The sequence below is a fragment of the Homo sapiens genome, chromosome 3, assembly GCF_000001405.40.
Source record: "Homo sapiens chromosome 3, GRCh38.p14 Primary Assembly".
NCBI classification, from domain to species: Eukaryota; Metazoa; Chordata; class Mammalia; order Primates; family Hominidae; genus Homo; species Homo sapiens.
In genome coordinates, this window is record NC_000003.12 from 109,647,495 (window position 1) to 109,671,594 (window position 24,100).

At 38.8% G+C, this 24,100-nt stretch overlaps 1 long non-coding RNA gene across 2 annotated transcripts in view; it reads left to right on the forward strand.

Moving 5' to 3' along the window:
- Nucleotides 1-529: 529 nt before the first annotated feature.
- The window catches only part of LOC124906267 (uncharacterized), a 188,134-nt gene continuing 164,563 nt past the window's right edge, over nt 530-24,100 (forward strand). For both annotated transcript variants that reach the window (XR_007096002.1, XR_007096001.1), the window contains exon 1: nt 530-641. This is a non-coding gene — a long non-coding RNA (uncharacterized LOC124906267). The remainder of the gene's footprint in view (nt 642-24,100) is intronic.

Genomic DNA, 24,100 nt, shown 5'->3' on the forward strand with positions numbered 1-24,100 from the left:
CATCATCTTATTTATTTCTTACATGTCCCATGTGCTTTTCTTTTTCTGTTCTTTCTTTAGGTTTTGATGACAAGCTTAAAAAATTTTTTGCTGAGTGGCTGGCAAGATGGCCCAATAGGAACAGCTCCAGCCTGCAGCTCCCAGTGAGATCAACGCAGAAGGTGGGTGATTTCTGCATTTCCAACTGAGGTACCCGGCTCATCTCACTGGGACTAGTTAGACAGTGGGTGCAGCCCATGGAGAGCAAGCTGAAGCAGGGTGGGGCATCACCTCACCAAGGAAGTACAAGGGGTCGGGGAACTCCCTGCCCTAGCCAAGGGAAGCCGGGAGGGACTGTGCCATGAGGAACGTGTATTCTGGCCCAGATGCTATGCTTTTCATGGTCTTCACAACCTGCAGACCAGGAGAGTCCCTCGGGTGACTACACCACCAGGTCCCTGGGTTTCAAGCACAAAACTGCACGGCTGTTTGGGCAGACACCTAGCTAGCTGCAGAGTTTTTTTTTTTTTTTTTTTTTTTCATACCCTAGTGGTGCCTGGAATGCCAGAGAGACAGAACCATTCACTCCCTGGAAAGGGGGCTGAAACCAGGGAGCCAAGTGGTCTAGCTCAGTTGATCCCACCCCCATGGCGCCCAGCAAGGTAAGATCCACTGGCTTGAAATTCTCGCTGCCAGCACAGTAGTCTGAAGTTGACCTGGGACACTTGAACTTGGTAGGGGGAGGGACATCCATCATTACTGAGGCTTGAGTAGGCGGTTTTCCCATCACAGTGTAAACAAAGCTGCCTGGAATTTCAAACTGGACGGAGCGCACTGCAGCTTGAGAAAGCCGCTGTAGCCAGATTGCCTCTCTAGATTCCTTCTCTCTCTAGGGCATCTCTGAAAGAAAGGCAGAAGCCCCAGTCAGGGGCTTATATATAAAACTCTCATCACCCTGGGACAGAGCACCTGGGGGAAGGGGCAGATGTGGGCACAGCTTCAGCAGACTTGAACGTTCCTTCCCGCCAGCTATAAAGAGAGCAGTGGATCTCCCACCACAGAGCTCTGCTAAGGGACAGACTGCCCCCTCACGTGGGCCTCTGGCCCCCGTGCCTCCTGACTGGGAGATACCTCCTAGCAGGGGTCAACAGACATCTCATACAGGAGAGCTCTGGCTGGCATCTTGGGGGTGCCCCTTTGGGACGAAGCTTCCAGAGGTAGGAACAGGGAGCAATCTTTGCTGTTCTGCAGTCTCTGCTGGTGATACCAGAACAGGGCCTGGAATGGACCTCCAGCAAACTCCAGCAGACCTGCAGCAGAGAGGCCTGACTGTTAGAAGGAAAACTAACAAACAGAAAGGAATAGCATCAACATCAACAAAAAGGACATCCACACAAAAACCCCATCTGAAGATCACCAACATCAAAGACCTAACGAAGATGAATCCACAAAAATGAGGAAAAACCAGTGCAAAAAGGCTGAAAATTCCAAAAACTAGAATGCCTCTTCTCCTCCAAAAGATCACCACTCCTCGCAGGAAGGGAACAAAACTGGATGGAGAAGGAGTTTGATGAATTTTGATATTACCTACCTTCAGAAGGTAGGTAATAACAAACTCTTCTGAGCTAAAGGAGCATGTTCTAACCCAATGTAAGGAAGCTAAGAACCTTGAAAAAAGGTTAGATGAATTGCTAACTAGAATAACCAGTTTAGAGAAGAACATAAATGACCTGATGGAGCTGAAAAACATAGCATGAGAACTTCGTGAAGCATATACAAGTATCAACAGCTGAATCGATCAAGCAGAAGAAAGGCTATCAGAGATTGAAGATCAACTCAATGAAATAAAGTGTGAAGACAAGATTAGAGAAAAAATAAATGAAAAGGAATGAACAAAGCCTCCAAGACATATGGGACTATGTGAAAAGACCAAACCTACATTTGATTGGTGTACCTGAAAGTGATGGGGAGAATGGAACCAAGTTGGAAAACACTCTGCAGGATATTACCCAGGAGAACTTCGTCAACCTAGCAAGGCAGGCCAACACTCAAATTCAGGAAATACAGAGAACACATCAAAACTACTCCTTGAGAAGAGCAACCCCAAGACACGTAATTGTCAGATTCACCAAGGTTGAAATGAAGGAAAAAGTGTTCAGGGCAGCCAGAGAGAAAGGTCAGGTTACCCACAAAGGGAAGCCCATCAGACTAACAGCGGATCTCTCGGCAGAAACTCTACAAGCCAGAAGAGAGTGGGGGCCAATATTCAACATTCTTAAAGAAAAGTATTTTCAACCCAGAATTTCATATCCAGCCAAACGAAGCTTCATAAGTGAAGGAGAAATAAAATCCTCTACAGACAAGCAAATGCTGAGAGATTTTGTCACCACCAGGCCTGCCTGACAAGAGCTCCTGAAGGAAGGACTAATTATGGAAAGGAAAAACTGCTACCAGCCAGTGCAAAAACAAACCAAATTGTAAAGACCATAGACACTATGAAGAAACTGCATCAACTAACGGGCAAAATAACCAGCTAACATCATAATGAAAGGATCAGATTCACACAAAACAGTATTAACCTTAAATGTAAATGAGCTAAATGCCCCAGTTAAAAGACACAGACTGGCAAATTGGATAAAGAGTCAAGACCCATCAGTGTGCCGTATTCAGGAGACCCATCTCACATACAAAGACACACATAGGCTGAAAATAAAGGGATGGAGGAAAATTTATGAAGCAAATGGAAAGAAAAAAAAAAAGCAGGGATTGCAATCCTAGTCTCTGATAAAGCAGACTTGAAACCAACAAAGATCAAAAGAGACAAAGAAGGGCATTACACAATGTAAAGGGATCAATTCAACAAGAAGAGCTAACAGTCCTAAATATATATGCACCCAATACAGGAGCACCCAGATTCATAAAGCAAGTCCTGAAATACCTACAAAGAGACTTAGACTCCCACACAATAACAGTGGGAGACTTTTACACCCCACTGTCAATATTAGACAGATCAACAAGACAGAAAATTAACAAGGATATTCAGGACTTGAACTCAGCTCCAGACCAAGCGGACCTAAGAGACATCTACAGAACTCTTCACCCCAAATCAACAGAATATACATTCTTCTCAGCACCACATTGCACTTATTCTAAAATTGACCACATAATTGGAAGTAAAACACTCCTCACCAAATGCAAAAGAATAAGAATCATAACAAACAGTCTCTCAGACTGTGGGGCAATCAAATTAGATTTCAGGATTAAGAAACTCACTGAGAACCACAAAAGTACTTGGAAACTGAACAACCTGCTCCTGAATGATTACTGGGTAAATAACAAAATTAAGGCAGAAATAAATAAGTTTTTTTGAAACTGATGAGAACAAAGAAACAAAGTACCTGAATCTCAGGGACACAGCTAAAACAGTATTTAGAGAGAAATTTAGAGCACTAAGTGCCCACAGGAGAATGCAGAAATGATCTAAAATTGACACCGTAACATCACAATTAAAAGAACTAGAGAAGCAGGAGCAAAGAAATTCAAAAGCTAGCAGAAGGCAAGAAGTAGCTAAGATCAGAGCAGAACTGAAGGAGATAGAGACATGAAAAACCCTTCAAAAAAATCAGTGAATCCGGAAGCTGTTTTTTTTGAAAAGATTAACAAAGTAGATAGACTGCTAGCCAGACTAATAAAGAAGAAAAGAGAGAAGAATCAAATAGACACACACAAAAAAATGATAAAGGGCAGATCGCCACTGATCCCACAGAAATACAGACTACCTTCAGAGAATACTATAAACACCTCTACGCAAATAAACTAGAAAATCTAGAAGAAATGGCTAAATTCCTGGACACATACACCCTCCCAAGACTAAACCAGGAAGAAGTCAAACCCCTGAATAGACCAATAACAAGTTCTGAAATTGAGGCAGTATTTAACAGCCCAACAACCAAAAAACGCCCAGGACCAGACAGATTCACAGCCGAATTCTACCAGATGTACAAAGAGGAGCTGGTACTATTCCTTCTGAAACTATTCCAAACAATAGAAAAAGGACTCCTCTCTAACTCATTTTATGAGGCCAGCATCATCCTGATAGCAAAACCTGGCAGAGACACAACAAAAAAAGAAAATTTCAGGCTAATATCCCTGATGAACATCGATGCAAAAATCTTCAATAAAATACAGGCAAACCGAATCCAGCAGCACATCAAAAAGCTTATCCATCACGATCAAGTTGGCTTCATTTCTGGGATACAAGGCTGGTTCTACATGCGCAAATCAATAAATGTAATCCATCACATAAACAGAACCAATGATAAAAACCACATGATTATCTCAGTAGATGCAGAAAAGGCCTTCAATCAAATTCAACACCCCTTCATGCTAAAAACTCTCAATAAACTAGGTATTGATGGAACGTATCTCAAAATAATAAGAGCTATTTATGACAAACCCACAGCCAATGTCATACTGAATGGGCAAAAGCTGGAAGCATTCCCTTTGAAAACTGGCACAAGACAAGGATGCCATTTCTCACCACTCCTATTCAACATAGTATTGGAAGTTCTGGCCAGGGCAATCAGGCAAGAGAAAGCAACAAAGTGTACTCGGATAGGAAGAGAGGAAGTCAAATTGTCTCTGTTTGCAAATGGCATGGTTATATATTTGGAAAACCCCATTGTCTCATCCCAAAATCTCCTTAAGCTGATAAGCAACTTCAGCAAAGTCTTGGGATACAAAATTAATGTGCAAAAATCACAAGCATTCCTATACACCAATAACAGACAAACGGAGAGCCAAATCATGAGTGAACTCCCATTTATAATGGCTACAAAGAGAATAAAATACCTAGTAATACAACTTACAAGGGATGTGAAGGACCTCTTCAAGAAGAACTACAAACCACTGCTCAAGGAAATATGAGAGGACACAAATAAATGGAAAATGGAAAAAACATTCTACGCTCATGGATAGGAAGAATCAATATCATGAAAATGGCCATACTTCCCAAAGTAATTTATAGATTTATTGCTATCCCCATCAAGCTACCACTGACTTTCTTCACAGAATTAGAAGAAACTACTTTAAAGTTCATGTGGAACCAAAAAAGATCTCGTATAGCCAAGACAGTCCTAAGCAAAAAGAACAAAGCTGGAGGCATCACAATACCTGACTTTAAACTATACTACAAGGCTACAGTAACCAAAACAGCATGGTACTGGTCCCAAAACAGGTATATAGACTAATGGAACAGAACAGAGGCCTCAGAAAAATACCACCACACATCTACAATTACCTGATCTTTGACAAACCTTACAAAAACAAGAAATGGGGAAAATATTCCCTATTTAATAGATGGTGTTGGGAAAACTGGCTAGCCATATGCAGAAAACTAAAACTGGACCCCTTCCTTACACCTTATACAAAAATTAACTCAAGATGGATTAAAGACTTAAAGCCTAAAACCATAAAAACCCTGGAAGAAAACCTAGGCAATACCATTCAGGACACAGGCATGGGCAAAGACTTTATGACTAAACACCAGAAGCAATGGCAACAAAAGCCAAAATTGACAAATGGGATCTAATTAAACTAAAGAGCTTCTGCACAGCAAAAGAAACTATCATCAGAGTGAACAGGCAACCTACAGAATGGGAGAAAATTTTTGCAATCTATCCATCTGACAAATGGCTAATATCCAGAATCTACAAGGAACTTAAAGAAATTTACAAGAAAGCAACAAACGACCCCATCAAAAACTGGGCAAAGGATATAAACAGGCACTTCTCAAAAGAAGACGTTTATGCAGCCAACAAACATGAAAAAAAGTTCATCATCACTGGTCATTAGAGAAATGCAAATCAAAACCACAATGAGATGCCATCTCAAGCCAGTTAGAATGGCGATCATTAAAAAGTCAGGAAACAGGCCAGGCGCGGTGGCTCACGCCTGTAATCCCAGCACTTTGGGAGGCCGAGGCAGGCAGATCACGAGGTCAGGAGATCGAGACTATCCTGGCTAACACAGTGAAACCTTGTCTCTACTAAAAATTCAAAAAATTAGCCAGGTGTGGTGGTAGGTGCCTATAGTCCCAGCTACTCAGGAGGGAGGTTGAGGCAGGAGAATGGTGTGAACCTGGGAGGTGGAGCTTGCAGTGAGCTGAGATCATGCCACTGCCCTCCAGCCTGGGCGACAGAACAAGACACCGTCTCAAAAAAAAAAAAAAAAAAAGAAGTCAGGAAACAACAGATGCTAGCGAGGAAGTGGAGAAATAGCTTTTACACTGTTGGCGGGAATGTAAATTAGTTCAGCCACTCTGGAAAACAGTTTGGAGATTTCTCAAAGAACTTAAAACAGAGCTAGCATTTGACCCAGCAATCCCATTACTGGGTATATACCCAAAGGATTATTAATCATTCTACTTTAAAGACACATGCACATATATGTTTATTGCAGCACTGTTTTCAATAGCAAAGACTTGGAACCAACCCAAATGCCCATCAATGATAGACTAGATAAAGAAAATGTGACACATATACACCATGGAATACTATGCAGCCATAAAAAAGAATGAGTTCATGTCCTTTGCAGGGACATGGATGAAGCTGGAAACCATCATTCTCAGCAAACTAACACAGGAAAAGAAAAACCAAACACCATGTTTTCTCACTCATAAGTGGGAGTTGAACAATGAGAGAACACATAGACACAGGGAGGGGAACATCACACACCGGGGCCTGTTGGGGGCTGGAGGTCTGGGCGACAGATAGCATTAGGAGAAATACCTAATGTAGATGATGGGTTGATGGGTGCAGCAAACCACGATGGCATGGGTATACCTATGTAAGAAACCTGCACATTCTGCAAATGTATCCCAGAACTTGAAGTATAATAAATTTTTTCTTTGCCATTTGTCTTTTATAGTCATCATTTAATTATGCACTGTTATTATTCATTTAGTTTTTACCCTATAAATTACAGTATACATCTTTCACTTATTACAGTCTACCTTAGGTAAATGTTTTAAATATTTGCTGAAGAAGAAAAGAACCTTAGAACAGTTTAAATGGTTTTTTTTAACCTTCCTTGCCTTTTGTGCTAAGATTGCCATATAATTTGTTCTACTTGATTTTTAACTATGCAAGATGTAGTGATTATTGCCATTTTAAAGCATTAATATCTTTCACATTAATTCACATATTTATAATTTCTGGTGTTTTTCATTCTTCCCATTTTGTGCTTCCATCTGGGATCATTTTCCTTCTGCCTGAAGAACTTCTTTTAGTATTTTTTTTAACTGCAAGTCTGCTTCTGATGAATTTTCTCATATTTTATTTGAAAACATCTTTATCTTAATTTTTGAAGCATATGTAGTTGGGCACAGAATTCCAAGTTGGTGAGCACTTTAAAGATATCACTTAGTTTTAATTGAAAATTCCTCAGTCAACTTATTTTTCCCCTCCTTTGCACATAGTGATACAGACAGAAGGCAGGGAAATACTGGGCAGAGGAGGGTGGTCCCTGGGAGGGCTCCACCCTGAAGCCTGGAACCGTGGCCCAAAGTGAGGACTTTATATCCCAATTTTCCTGCTCAAATGTTGCCTTTTCCAAAACCACCCTGGCCTGCCCTGACCCCCATTCTGTACCCATAAAAACCTCAGGCTCCACTGGCAGAAGAGTGGCAGAGAAGGAGAGAAGAGAAGCAGCAGCCAGATATTGGAGAGAAGCAGCTTAAGAGGGAGGGCTTGGCGGCGGGGACTTCAGAGAAGAGCCCCACGGGGATGGTCACATCCCAGGGGAAGATCACATTCCCACTCCATACCCTTTCCAGCTCCCTTTCCCTCTGAAAGCCAGTTCCATCAGCAATAAACTTCTCTGTATTCATCACCTTCCAATTCGTTTGTGCGACCTGAATCTTCATGGATGCTGAACAATAGCTCCAGAGTCATGAGTGCAGATGCCTGAGCTGTTCAACACTTAAGCCATCCGTGGACAGCAAAGCTAAAAGAGCACTGTATAACACACGCCCTCTGGGGCCCCAGGGGTCATAGGTATCCTCCTAGATGCTGCCTTGGGGCCGCACGGAATTCTGCTCCTGCTGGTGCCCAGAAGCACTCATCACGGCTCCTGCACCCACTCACCTGTGTGCTCCTCCTCCCTCAGGGGGTTAAGAGCTGCAGGCTGAGTAAGCGAGGCATCTCTGTCACGAGGCCCATGAAGGGGTCAGGGAAAATTTCTTGTTTCAATAGTGTGTTTTCTTTCTCTGAAGTTGTTCTCTTTCCATTTGATTTTCAGCAGGCCGGCCATAATGCACGTGGCGTTGTAGAGATTCTTGAAAAATGCACTTATATGTAGTTTGTCAGTGTTGAAGAACTCTAATATCTCTTCTGTGTTATTATTTCTCTCCTCTACTTCTGGGACTCCAAATTATATATAATTAGAAGTTTTCACCGTGCCTGTTTTGCTCTTTTTTCTGTTTTCAGCTTTCCTCGTCTTTCTGCATTTGTATCACTAATTCTGTTTTCTAATTACTACTCCTCTGTTCTTCTCTGTGCACTCTGCTACTAAACCTGTATTTTCAATTCTTAATTTTAGTTGTAGTATTTTTGGATTATAGATTATTCATTTGAATTTTAAAAAATCCAGATCTATGTTAAAATTATTTATATTTTCCTCTATTTTGTTGGATATATTAATCACAGATTTTTTTAAAAGTTCTTATCTCATAACTTCAATATCTAAATCGCCTAGATGCCTCTGTTATTCTTTTTATTATTTTTCTTGGCATTTGGCCATTTCATTCTTTTTTGTTTTAATAGACCTTTGAAATTTATATTGGATTCTGGACATTGTCTGTGAAAAATTATAGAGGTTCTGGATAATGTTACATCCCTCAGATGAGGGTTAAATTTTATTCTGGCAGATCACATTGAACCTGTCAAAGGTCAATTTTAAGCTTGGTAGGGCTGATCTACTGCAGTTTTGCTGTTACTTCTAGGACAGAGGTCAACAAACCTTTCCTGTAAAGGGCCAGATAATAAATACTTCAGAGTTTGTAGGCCATATGTTCTGTGCCATAACTATTAAACTTTGCTGTTATAGCAGAAGAGCAGTGATAGACAATATGTAATTAAATGAGCTTGGCTACATTCCAATAAAACTTTATCGACACTAACATTTAAATTTCATATAAATTTCAAATGTCATGTAATAGTACTTTTACTTTAAAGATTTTAAACCATGTAAAAATATGAAAACTATTCTTAGCTCTAGGGACCTGCAAAAACAAGTGACAAGCCAGATTTGGCCTGCAAGTTGTAGTTGGCTGACAAATGCACTCACATATGTCCCTTACTCCTAAGTTTGGCCCTTTTTGGTTCTTACCTGGAAGAACAGGCTTTGAACAATCCAGTCTCTGTCTCCATGGCTGCCGACTTCTCTGCTCAGCTTTTAGTTTTCTGCATACTGTTTTTCAGTGGGTTTTGAGGGTCTTATCCCGTGCATATGCTACTTAAGAATCAGCCAATGTTTGAAAGGAAATTTGTAGTGGGAATTTGGGCTGATTTCCTGAGGTGCTTTCTTAGGGCTTCACTCCTCAGGTCCCATCGGTTTGGGCAGCTTCATTCTCCAGCATATACCTCCTCAGCCAAGATTGACTGCTGCTTTCTGATTAGGCTCTCTTTCCCACTCTTTCACAGACAGCAAATCAGATACTGTCCTAAAGAGAAGAAGTTGGAATATGAATATTATTTTGTGTGTTCCCCTTCTTTCAAAGACTGTAATTCCTCAAATATTGACTGAAATTTAAAAAATTCCCATTGTCTTCAGATAATTGCTTTATATATTGTGTCAAGCTTTTATTTTTATTTTCAACAAGAGACTTAATCTGCTTGCTGAGAGCAGAAGTCTGTATAGCCATTTTAAATTGATATGTAGTCAAAATTGTCAATATAGATTTATTGATAGCTTCTAGGTTTTATAAGCTTAGGAAGACTGTTTCCTTATTATATTATAAAGATATCCTTCCATGTTTTTCTTCTGTAATTTTTTTCATTTTAAGCTTTGAATTTAAATTAATTTTTACATTTTAATCATTGATCAATCTGAAATTTATTTTGATAAAAGATGTGAAATGGATTTCAGCTTTTTCTTAAATAACTGGCACAATTTTTTGATTTTGATTATTGATTTGAAATGCTATACTTGAAATATATTAAATTCCCAACTGTAAAGGAAAATATTTTAGAACTTTCTACTATGATTCACTGATGTGCGTGCCTGTCAATTTCTGAGCCAAGATTATACTATTTTAGAATATAATTTTTAGATTTACAAAGGCAGGTTAGTAAAAAAAAATAGAATACATTTTATTATCAGGGAAGACTATTCCATTACTCTTCATTTTCAGAAATGTGCTAGTTATTCTTTCATGTGCATTTTTCCAGGTAAACTTTAGACTTAGTTGGTCAATTAAAAAAATGTGGGACAGGCAATGAAAGAAAAAAAATAGTTACGTTGGATTCATAAAAATTAAAAGCTTGTTTGCATCAAAGGACACGATTAACAAAGTTAAAAGGCAAACTTTTAGAGTGGGAGAAAATATTTGCAAATAATGTATTTGTTAACAATTGATATCCAGAATACATATAAACTCCTATAACTCAACATTAAAGAAATTCAAATAAAAAATGAGCAAAGGACTTGAATAGATATTTATCCAAAGGATAATGAACACAAGAAAAGATACTCAGCATTACTATCATTAGAGAAATACAAACGGAAACCACAATGAGATGCTACTTCGTAGTCATCTGGGTAGGTAGCATGAAAAAGCAGAAAATGAGAAGTGTTAGCATGGATGTGGAGTAATTGGAATGCTTTTGCATTGCAGTTGGGAATGTAAAATGATGAAGCCACTGTGGAAAACAATATGGTGATTTCTCAAAAAATTAAACATAGAGTTACCATATGATTCAGCAACTCCACTTCTGGGTGTATACACAAAGGAATTTAAAACATATTTGTAAACCCATATGAATAGTAGCATTATTCACTATAACCAAAAGGCAGAAGTAACACAAGTGTTCATTGATTAATAAATATATAAGCAGTGGTATATATGTATATACATACATATATATAAAATGGAATAGTATTCAGCCTTAAAAAGTAAGGAAATTCTGACATGCAACAACATGAATGAAAGTTGAAGACATTTATGCTAAGTAAAATAAGCCAGTCACAAAGGACAAATATTGCATAACCTTCCTTATGTGAGATATTTATGGTAGTCAAATTTGTAGACAGAAAGTAGAATCTTAATTCCCAGGGTCTGGGGGTTGGGGGGAAGAGAGAATTATGTTTAATGGATATAGAATTTTAGTTTGGCAAGATGAAAATATTCTGGAGATGGATAGTGGTGATGGTTGTACAGCAATGTGAATGTACTTAATGCCTCTGAATTGCATACTTAAAAATGGTTAAAATGGTAAGTTCATATTGCATATATTTTGCCATAATAATAAATGTTTCTTAGATAAAAAAAGAAATGGGAACCTATTTGTAGTTTTTGTTGTGATTGATGACATTGACAACTTTGTAATACTCTGTCTTACCAATAATAAGATGTATCCTTCTATTATTCATTTTTATGTTTCTCAGTAGAGACTTGAGTATTTCTTCACAAAGGTTCTGATTATATCTTGTTTCTCCTAGATTTTCATTTGTCGTTCCTGTTATACATTTAAGTGACTTTTTTCTTTCATTTTCTTGTTTGATTCTTGTTTGAATAGAAAATAGTGTTTGATTATTTCATATGATTTTTTAACCACGCATTTTTTTCTACCATATTTTCTTAAGTACTCTGCTAATTCTCTCAAACAAGCATTTATTGAGAACAATTTGAGTATAGAGAAACATTAGAATATTCTTGCCCTCAAGAATCTAGTCTAGCTGGGAATTAAGGTCTACCTGGGAAAGAAAAAAAAGTAACATAAAATGAAATAAGGCTCTTTAAAAAAAAACAAAAAAACCTAGAGGACAGCCTATCTTCCAGACATTTGTTTTTTGAGGAAAATAAACCTTATGAAAACCAAGTCATGTCACCCCACTAAATTAATACAAGCTCTAAAATGGCATGCTAACCTTTATGAGATACTTTCTATTTCACATTATATTTTATTGTAATTGTAGCAGAAAAATTAATGTAGGAAGTCATTTATGTCAGGTATGGTCATATGAGGCTCCTGGGGATGACCTTGGTGTTAACTGCCTACGATGTGGGCAATACTGCATAGGCCGAGGCTGCAGATTCCTGTCCATCACTGTTCTTGAGTAGTTCCAGTGTTGGTCTGTGAATGCTGATCAGGGTGTGGCCTTCATATTAGGTGCAGTGCATCTCATTCTTGAGTGTGCATTTCAATTGCACTGAAAACTTATAAAAAAGCTGTTCCCTGTGCCTGGCAAGGAGTTCCTGACTCAGACCTGTTGTGCGGCTGAGATATCTGTGCTTTAACCGTGCACCCAGGTAATTCTGATGTAGGTGGGCCAGAGAGCGCGCTTTGGGAAATATTGCTCTTGTATAGTAACATCTTCTACTATCGATGCCAAACTGCCTAGTAGGCACTGTAAGATTTTTCTTTTCACATAAAATCTTTTCAATGTCTAATGTCATGTTCCATCCCCTGCTATGTGACTCCTCGCCACATTGGACCCTTTCTGATGGTCGTGCACGTGCTGATTCCTGCCATCTTTCTCAGTCTGGCTCCATTTTTCTGCCTCTACTATTATCCTTAGAAATTCCTTCGCCCCTTACTGTTCTGCCCAGCACAACTTATTTTCCCTGGTTGCAATGGCCTGGCTCTCCAGCAGTCTCCAGTGCCCCTGCCATGCGACATTACCACCTCTGCTGTTTCAGCTGAGTTCAAGCTATGGAAACCCTTTCAACATTTTGAGTTCGGTCCTCTCCAACTGCCACCACATTCAATTGCTCTTTACTCCAAAACCTCCATATTCCACATGCCAAGAAACCCACAGTAGCAATATTTCTCTCCATACACAACTGTGTTAATTTTTATAGGCACATTGTAGCACATTTTCAATCTGGTCATTTATCTCCATGTCCAGCTGTTCTTCACTTCCAAATTCACATTAGTGTATTAGTAAATCTTTCATATGTTAGTCTACACATCAAAGAACCCAGTATTACCCCTCTTTTCCCAATTCAATTTATGTAAATTTTATAAACACATTGATAGGTTAAAATTTTAAATATAAATTTCCCAATAAACATACCTCCTCTGGTCACTCTAGTGAGTTTATATGTTTATAAAATTGAATTATAACACAGTAATTTTGGTTGTCCAGTATATTTATAAAAATGGATCCAGACTGGGAAACATAGCAAGACTCCATCTTGCCTTCTAAAAAAAAAAAAAAAAAGGCAAGACGTCTGTTCATCCCCTATAAGTGTATATCCTGCCCAACTCTTAATTTCTGGGCTCCTCATAATGAAAAGTTTATATAGAGTTGCCTGGACCTATGTAACATTTCGTATGGCCATTGACTCCATTTATGGTGAAATCTGAATCAGCAATTCTCGTGGATGTCCACTCTTGTTTCCCTGGGCTTTGGGTAGGGATTCACAATCTATGCCAGCCAAGAATTTTTTCTGACCACTTCCCTCTTTCCACATATTCCTGATACCTCCAGCTCAATTCCTATTCCCACTTTTTTCTTATATTTCGTGAATATCTGACATTCTTAAAGCAGTCTTAATGTTGGGGCTGGAGGATGTGAAAATGGTCTGCATGTGAATGTTAAATAACAAGAGCATTTGGGCAGAAAGCAATTCGTTACCATCATTGTGCATTCTGTAACTCAGCTCTATATGAACAAGGGGGTTAAGCATATCGCCCCCTGTCCCACAGCTTCCACATGTGAAGACTGTCTGCCGCTTTTCACAACTCTTCAGGCACCCTATTGGAAACTATGCTTTTCTAAAGGACCCCCGGGCAAGCTTAGCCTTTTACTGTTTTAGAGAAATCTAAAGTGGATACATGAAAAGTGGCACAGTTGCCAACTATAATGAGATAAGGGCCCATTATTACTCCACCTCCCTCCCTAGGACAGTGACGAGGGCCATTGGACTTTTCCATATTCTGCATAAATGCCTTTTTCTTCTTAGGAAAGTCAGCAATCCGTAGTTTCTCTCTTCCCTTTCATTTACAAATCAGCATTCAATGTACCCCAGGGTACAAGGATCTAGGGCTTGGGATGCTCTTTTTAAAAGTTTTCCAATCCATGTCCTGCATTTGTCAAGGGCAGTCCTAAGAAATAGCACGAGTACTTGGCTTTGGAGCAAGGTTTCTCAAACTCGGCAATACTGACATTTTGAACCAGATGATTCTTTGTTGTGGAAGACTGTTGTGTGTATTGTAGAATGTTCAGCAGCATCTCTGACCTCTACCCACTAGATTTCAGAAATACTCCCAACCCTGTCCTCCCACGTGAAAACCAAAGATGTGACCAGACATTGTTAAACGTCCCTGAGACTTAAAATTGTCCTGGTTGAGACCACTACCTTAGAGTTACATTAAGCAATGTAATTCCCATGATTATTTCTTTTTAAAAAAGATACACATATCTTTTAAAATACGTACTTTAATACACATTTTAAATATACATATATGTTTAAAATCTTTGATATGTTTTTAAGACAATTTATGAGACTTTAGAGTTTACTCTTGGTCTAACTAGAGTTTACTCTTGGTCTAACAGTTAATATAAAAAGACATTCATGAACTTCCCAAAAGCTAAACAAAGTGCTCCATGCAAATAAGCTGTCATCTGAGTTTATTAGAACCGAGGGCCTAGCCTGCACCACAGATACTTAATGTTAAGTACCTTTCAGCAATATTTTTATTAAACCAGGAAGTTCAGACTATGAATTAATCTTTGTGGGAAAATAAAATAAGCCATTTCTCTAAGCAAAAACTGTTTTTAAAAAATATATCTAATTTTTAAAGCTTTCATTTGGTATTTGTCTGATGCCATGCCCACACAGTATCTGTATGTTCAATAAATATCTGATGAATGATAAACTAGTGTGTGGGGGGACTTTTGTTTGGTTCCTAAAGTATGTTCTCTCTAGCACTGAAACTCAAAATGTGATCAGCAGACCTGCAATACTGTCTTCACTGTGCAGATTGTTAGAAATGCAGACTCTTAGCTCTCATCCTTGACCTACTGGGTCAGATTATGATTGCAGTAATATACCCAGGTAATTTTTTTTGCAGATTAAACTTGTTAAGCACTGTCTCAGAACACTATTTCCAGAGATTATTAAAAGATAAATTCTAAGAAAGGATTCTGTAAAAAATAAATTCAGCAAACAGTGGGTTAAGTATAGTTATTTATGTTCTTAATACAGCAGGACCACTCAAATCACATCCATATATAAATTCTGACTCTCCAAGTTGGGATGTGGTAGATGTTAAGCAGTGTTTTCCAAACTTATTAATGACGATACTTTTTTTTTTTTTTGAGACAGAGTCTCACTTTGTTGCCCAGGCTGGAGTGCAGTGGTGGGATACAGCTCACTGCAGCCTCAACCTCCCACGCTCAAGTGATCCTCCCAGGCTCAAGCAATCTTCCCACCTCAGTCCCCCAAGTATATGGGCACAGGTGTGCTCCACCACACCCGGCTGATTTTTGTATTTTTGTAGGGATGGGGTTTTGCCATGTTGCTTAGGCTAGTCTTGAACTCCTGAGCCTCAAGCGATTGGCTTGTCTCAGCCTCTCAAAGTGCTGGGATTACAGCATGAGCCACCATGCCCAGCCTGAGACCTTTTTTTCATAGGTGTCACTTGGAAAATGTCGCTGTTATGTGATACGGGCATTCATCTCATAAATGGCAACTGGATCTTAAATAAATAAATTAATCAGGTAGCTAATTTTGGTTAATGATTACTAATAATATGCTGAGTGGAAGAACAAAACACAGTTTCCAGAGAAGAAAAAAACTAATAATGATAATAACCCAAAAGAAAAAACAAAACAAAAAAACATAATCCCTTGGAGTACTAACTACTTGAATTAAAAACTATTAACAAAATAAAATAAAGCAACAAATGTAAAAAGTAGTAGTTGGTTCATTGCAGTTGACACACAAGCAACATTTTGGAATGAAATTTTCTGAATTCAGTTTCAACATATTTTTGTATAAAAGTAGTTCTTACTGTTGTTGATATTTTGAGTATTAGAAAGTTCAGACAAAATTAATAATTAAAAAATAAGCGTCTGTATGCTGAATTAAAATATTACATTTGTTATTAGAAATATGTGTAATACATAATAGTATGAAAAAGCAATTATATATTCTTACTATTCAGAGAGAAGCACAGTTGCCATTTTATTTCCTATTAGCCCTTTTTTTGTACATTATACATACAAAATGTTAGAAAAGCATATTCTATTTTGCATCTTACTTTTTTCATTTAGCATTATATCATGAACATTTTCTAAGGTATTAAAAATTGTTTGAAAACATAATTTTTAAAGAATAAATACATTTCATTATATGGATTTGCCATTATTTAAAATTCTTCTTTTAGTGGCAGGCATGTAGGCTGTTTATGTAATTTTATTCTTATAAATAATGCTGTGATAAAAACTCTTGCTTGGGTAAAATTCTAATTATTTTCTTAGAATAGATTTCTAAAAATTGAATTGTTGCTTCAAAGAGAACAAACACTTTAAAGGACAAAGTAAAAAATAAGACATTTTAAAGATCATGTTCTTCGTTTGTATTTGCACTTCAAAAATACATCTTCAATTTTATTATTTAAAGTGAAAATATAATTTGACCTATAAGCATTGCCTTTATGCTTACTGGAAGAGCACTTTTATAATGGAATTATTTTGTGTGTTACATTCATATTCTTTACTGTTCTTAGAGAAACCTGACTATTCATTTCATAGCAGGAGTACCTGGACTTGGGGTTGACTTCATCATGTTAACCAGCTGATCAAATGACATTTTATAATTCACTTTCAGTTGATAGATATATAATTATTCAAAAAGAAGGGGAAAAGAGTGGTTTAGAATCCATCAAAACCTATACCTCTTCAGTGAAATCTTCAAAAATTTCCCAGGAGTCTCTTAATTTCATATTACATCTCTGGATTATCTCTAGTGTAAATGATGTGAGTTTTCTTACCATTCTTCAGTCACACCATTTTTGTATAAAAAGAGATTTAGATGGGAGTCAGTTCCAAGATGGCCAGATAGGAACAGCTCCAGTCTGCAGTTCGCAGCATGATCAAAGCAAAAGACAGGTGATTTCTGCATTTCCAACTGAGGTACCTGGTTCATCTCACTGGGACTGGTTGGAAAGTGGGTGCAGCCCACAGAGGGTGTGCTGAAGCAGGGCGGGGCATTGCCTCACCCGGGAGGTGCAAGGGGTTGGGGGATTTCCCTTTCCTAGCCAAGGGAAGCAGTGACAGACTGTACTGGGAAAATCAGGACGCTGCCACGTAAACACTGCATTTTTCCAATGGTCTGAGCAAACCACACGCCAGGAGATTATATCCCACGCCTGGCTCAGTGGGTCCCACGCCCACGGAGCCTTGCTCACTGCTAGTCCGAGATCGAACAGCAAGGTGTCAAGCCTGGCTGCAGAAGGGGCGTCCACCATTGCGGAGGCTTGAGTAGGTAAACAAAGCAGCCAGGAAGCTCAAACTGGGTGGAGCACACTGCAGCTCAATGAGGCCCGCCTGCCTCTGTAGACTGCAACTCAAGGGGCAGGGCATAGCTGAACAAAGATAGCAGAAACTTCTGCAGACTTAAACGTCCCTGTCTGACAGCTCTGAAGGGAGCAGTGGTTCTCCAGCATGGTGTTTGAGCTCTGAGAATGGACAGACTGCCTCCTCAAGTGGGTCCCTGCCCCTATGTAGTCTAACTTGGAGACATCTCTCAGTAGGGTACGCCTGACACCTCATACAGCTGGGTGCCCCTCTGAGACGAAGCTTCCAGAAGAAGGATCAGACAGCAATATTTGCTGTTCTGCAATATTTGCTGTTCTGCAGCCTCTGCTGGTGATACCCAGGCAAACAGGGTCTGGAGTGGACCTCCAGCAAACTCCAACAGACCTGCAGCTGAGGGACCTGACTGTTAGAAGGAAAACTAACAAACAGAAAGGAATAGCATCAACATCAGTAAAAAGGACATCCACACCAAAACCCCATCTGTAGGTCACCATCATCAAAGACCAAAGGTAGATAAAACCACAAAGGTGGGGAGAAACCAGAGCAGAAAAGCTGAAAATTCTAATAACCAGAGCTCTCCTTCTCCTTCAAAGGATCACAGCTCCTTGCCAGAAACGGAGCAAAGCAGGACGGAGAATGACTTTGATGAGTTGACAGAAGTAGGCTTCAGAAAATCGGTAATAACAAATTTCTCCGAGCTAAAGGAGGATGTTCGAACCCATTGCAAGGAAACTAAAAACCTTGAAGAAAGATTAGATGAATGGCTAACTAGAATAAACAGTGTAGAGAAGACCATAAATGACCTAACAGAGATGAAAACCATGGCACAAGAACTACGCGACACATGCACAAGCTTCAGTAGCCGATTTGATCAAGTGGAAGAAAGAGTATCAGTGATTGAAGATCAAATTAATGAAAAGAAGTGAGAAGAGAAGTTTGGAGAAAAAAGAGTAAAAAGAAATGAACAAAGCCTCCAAGAAATATGGGACTATGTGAAAAGACCAAATCTACATTTGACTGGTGTACCTGAAAGTGACAGGGAGAATGGAACCAAGCTGGAAAACACTCTTCAGGATATTATCCAGGAGAACTTCCCCAACCTAGCAAGGCAGGCCAACATTCAGATGCAGGAAATTCAGAGAACATGACAAAGATAATCTTTGAGAAGAGCAACTCCAAGACATATAATTGTCAGATTCACCAAGGTTGAAATGAAGGAAAAAATGCTAAAGGCAGCCAGAGAGAAAGGTCAGGTTACCCACAAAGGGAAGCCCATCAAACTAACAGTGGATCCCTTGGCAGAAACCCTACAAGCCAGAAGAGAGTGGGGGCCAATATTAAACATTCTTAAAGAAAAGTATTTTCAACCCAGAATTTCATATCCAGCCAAACTAAGCTTCATAAGTGAAGGAGAAATAAAATCCTCTACAGACAAGCAAATGCTGAGAGATTTTGTCACCACCAGGCCTGCCTTACAAGAGCTCCTGAAGGAAGCACTAAACATGGAAAGGAAAAACCGGTACCAGCCACTGCAAAAACATGCCAAATTGTAAAGACCATTGATGCTAGGAAGGAACTGCATCAACTAATGGACAAAATAACCAGCTAACATCATAACGACAGGATCAAATTCACACATAACAGTATTAACCTTAAATGTAAATGGGCTAAATGCCCCAGTTAAAAGACACAGACTGGCAAATTGGATAACGAGTTAAGACCCATCAGTGTGCTGTATTCAGGAGTCCCATCTCACGTGCAGAGACACACTTAGGCTCAAAATAAAGGGATGGAGGAAGATCGACGAAGCAAACGGAAAGCAAAAAAAAAGGAGGGGTTGCAATCTTAGTCTCTGATAAAACAGACTTTTAACCAACAAAGATCAAAAGAGAGAAAGAAGGCCATTACATAATGGTAAAGGGATCAAATCAACAGGAAGAGCTAACTATCCTAAATCTATATGCACCCAATATAGGAGCACCCAGATTCATAAAACAAGTCCTTAGAGACCTACAAAGAGACTTAGACTCCCACAGAAATATCATGGGAGACTTTAACACCCCACTGTCAATATTAGATATATCAATGAGACAGAAGGTTAACAAGGATATCCAGGACTTGAACACAGCTCTGCACCAAGAAGACCTAATAGACATCTACAGACCTCTCCACCCCAAATCAACAGAATATACATTCTTCTCAGCACCACATCACACTTACTCCAAAACTGACCACATAGTTGGAATTAAAGCACTCCTCAGCAAATGTAAAAGAAGAGAAATCACAACAAAGTGTCTCTCAGACCACAGTGCAATCAAACTATAACTCAGGATTAAGAAACTCACTCAAAACTGCACAACTACATGAAAACTAAACAACCTGCTCCTGAATGACTACTGGGTACATAACAAAATGAAGGCAGAAATAAAGATGTTCTTTGAAACCAGTGAGAACAAAGACACAATGTACCAGAATCTCTTGGACACATTTAAAGCAGTGTGTAGAGGGAAATTTATAGCACTAAATGCCCACAAGAGAAAGCAAGAAAGATCTAATTTCGACATTTTGACACCCTAACATCACAATTAAAAGAACTAGAGAAACAAGAGCAAACAAATTCAAAAGCTAGAAGAAGGCAAGAAATAACTAAGACCAGAGCAGAACTGAAGGAGATAGAGATGCAAAAAACCCTTCAAAAAATCAATGAATCCAGGAGCTGGTTTTTTGAAAAGATCAACAAAATTGATAGACTGCTAGCTAGACTAATAAAGAGGAAAAGAGAGAAGAATCAAATAGATGCAATAAAAAATGATAAAGGGGATGTCACCACTGATCCCACAGAAATACAAACTACCATCAGAGAACAGTATAAACACCTCTATGCAAATAAACTAGAAAATCTAGAAGAAATGGATAAATTCCTGGACACATACACCCTCCCAAGACTAAACCAGGAAGAAGTTGAATTGATGAGTAGACCAATAACAGGCTCTGAAATTGAGGCAATAATTAATAGCCTACCAACCAAAAAAAGTCCAGGACCAGATGGATTCACAGCTGAATTCTACCAGAGGTACAAAGAGCAGTAGATGGATTCACAGCTGAATTCTACCAGAGGTACAAATAGCAGCTGGTACCATTCCTTCTGAAACTATCCCAAGCAATAGAAAAAGAGGGTATTCTTCCTAACTCATTTTATGAGGCCAGCAACATCCTAATACCAAAGCCGGGCAGAGACACAACAAAAAAAGATAATTTTAGACCAATATCCCTGATGAACATCAATGTGAAAATCTTCAGTAAAATACTGGCAAATTGAATCCAGCAGCACATCAAAAAGCTTATCCACCAAGATCCAGTTGGCTTCATCCCTGGGATGCAAGGCTGGTTCAACATACGCAAATCAATAAACGTAATCCATCCCATAAACAGAACCAAAGACAAAAACCACATGATTCTCTCAATAGATGCAGAAAAGGCCTTTGACGAAATTCAACAGCGCTTCATGCTAAAAACTCTCAATAAACTAGGTATTGATGGAATGTATCTCAAAATAATAAGACCTATTTATGACAAAGCCACAGCCAGTATCATACTGAATGGGCAAAAACTGGAAGCATTCTCTTTGAAAACTGGCACAAGACCGGGATGCCCACTCTCACCACTCCTATTCCACATAGTGTTGGAAGTTCTGGCCAGGGCAATTAGGCAAGAGAAAGAATAAAGGTATATTCAGTTAGGAAAAGAGGAAGTCGAATTGTCCCTGTTTACAGATGACATGATTGTATGTTTAGAAAACCCCATCATCTTAGCCCAAAATCTCCTTAAGCTGATCAGCAACTTCTCAGCAAAGTCTCAGGATACAAATCAATGTGCAAAAATCACAAGCAGTCTTATACACCAATAATAGAAAAACAGAGAGCCAAATCATGAGTGAACTCACATTCACAATTGCTACAAAGAGAATAAAATACCTAGGTATCCAACTTACAAGGGATGTGAAGGACCTCTTTAAGGAGAACTACAAACCACTGCTCAACGAAATAAAAGAGGACACAAACAAATGGAAGAATAGTCCATGCTCATGGATAGGAAGAATCAATATCGTGAAAATGGCCATACTGCCCAAAGTAATTTATAGATTCAATGCCATCCCCATCAAGCTACCAATGACTTTCTTCACAGAATTGGAAAAAACTACTTTAAAGTTCATATGCAACCAAAAAAGAGCCCACATTGCCAAGACAGTCCTAAGCCAAAAGAGCAAAGCTGGTGGCATCACACTACCTGACTTCAAACTATACTACAAGGGTACAGTAACCAAAACAGCATGGTACTGGTACCAAAACAGAGATATAGACCAATGGAACAGAACAGTTGTGAAATAACACCACACATCTACAACCATTTGATTTTTGACAAACTTGACAAAAACAAGAAACGGGGAAAAGATTCCCTCTTTAATAAATGGTGCTGGGAAAATTGGCTAGCCATATGTAGAAAGCTGAAACTGGATCCCTTCCTTACACCTTATACAAAAATTAATTCAAGATGGATTAAAGACTTACGTGTTAGACCTAAAACCATAAAAACCCTAGAAGAAAACCTAGGCAATACCATTCAGGACATAGGCATGGGCAAGGACTTCATGACTAAAACACCAAAAGTAATGGCAACAAAAGCCAAAATTGACAAATGGGATCTAATTAAACTAAAGAGCTTCTGCGCAGCAAAAGAAACTACCATCAGAGTGAACAGGCAACCTACAGAATGGGAGACAATTTTTGCAGTCTACTCATCTGACAAAGGGCTAATATCCAGAATCTACAATGAACTCCAACAAATTTACAAGAAAAAAACAACCCCTTCAAAAAGTGGGCAAAGGATATGAACAGACACTTTTCAAAAGAAGACATTTATGCAGCCAACAGACACATGAAAAAATGCTCATTATCACTGGTCCTCAGAGAAATGCAAATCAAAACCACAATGAGATACCATCTCCCACCAGTTAGAATGGCGATCATTAAAAAGTCAGGAAACAACAGGTGCTGGAGAGGATGTGGAGAAATAGGAATGCTTTTACACTGTTGGTGGGAGTGTAACCTAGTTCAACCATTGTGGAAGACAGTGTGGCGATTCCTCAGGGATCTAGAACTAGAAATACCATTTGACCCAGCGATCCCATTACTTGGTATATACCCAAAGGATTATAAATCATGCTACTATAAAGACACAGGCACATGTATATTTATTGAGGCACTGTTAACAATAGCAAAGACTTGGAACCAACCCAAATGTCCATCAATGATAGACTGGATGAAGAAAATGTGGCACATATACACCATGGAATACTATGCAGCCATTAAAAAGGATGAGTTCATGTCCTTTGTAGCAACATGGATGCAGCTGGAAAGTGTCATTCTGAGTAAATTATTGCAAGGACAGAAAACCAAACACCGCATATTCTCACTCATAGGTGGGAATTGAACAATGAGAACACTTGGACACAGGGCCGGGGACCTCACACACCAGGGTCTGTCGTGGGGTGAGGGGATGCGGGAGGGATAGCATTAGGAGAAATACCTAATGCAAATGAGAAGTTAATGTTTGCAGCAAACCAACACGGCACATGTACACATATGTAACAAACCTGCACATTGTGCACATGTAGCCTAGAACTTGAAGTATAATAATAATAAAAGGGATTTAGATGGAGAACAATTCTATGATTTAATATTCTGAATGAATAAAGTTAAAGGTATGAGTCTACCTGTATACATGAGAATTGCTTATATACATTCATAAACAAAAATGCCAGATATAAATAGTGGATTCTGTCATAATCGTTTATATTTTTTTAACTTGATTATATAAATGTGTCTAAGAAAGTTACATATTTAGGTGTAGGGTTCTTGTCTGCACAGAAGAAATTTCATTTGCCCCTAACAGGCTATTTGCTTTCAGTTGCAAGGTATAAGAGTAGATGATTAGGATCATGATGTTTCAGGTTTACTCTCTCTTTTGGGGTATTATTTCTGATAGCTTAAGTTAGAACAGCAGGTGAAGAACAAATGTGTCAAAAATCATTTTTGGAAGCTGTTTTGTTATACATCTTTAAGAGGCAAAGAACCCATAGAACACCTTACAGAGAAGTTAGCATATAGTAGGTACTTAACATTTGATTTTGATTTTTCTTCCTATGGCTACGTACTGGATATAAAGACAGACATAGGCAGTTGATGGATTTCTTATGCATTGGATAATGTGCCAATGTTAATTTAAAAGGCTAGATTGGTGTAAATCTGTAAAGTTCAGAAAGTATGAATTTGCGATTCTTGCCCTTGGCTTT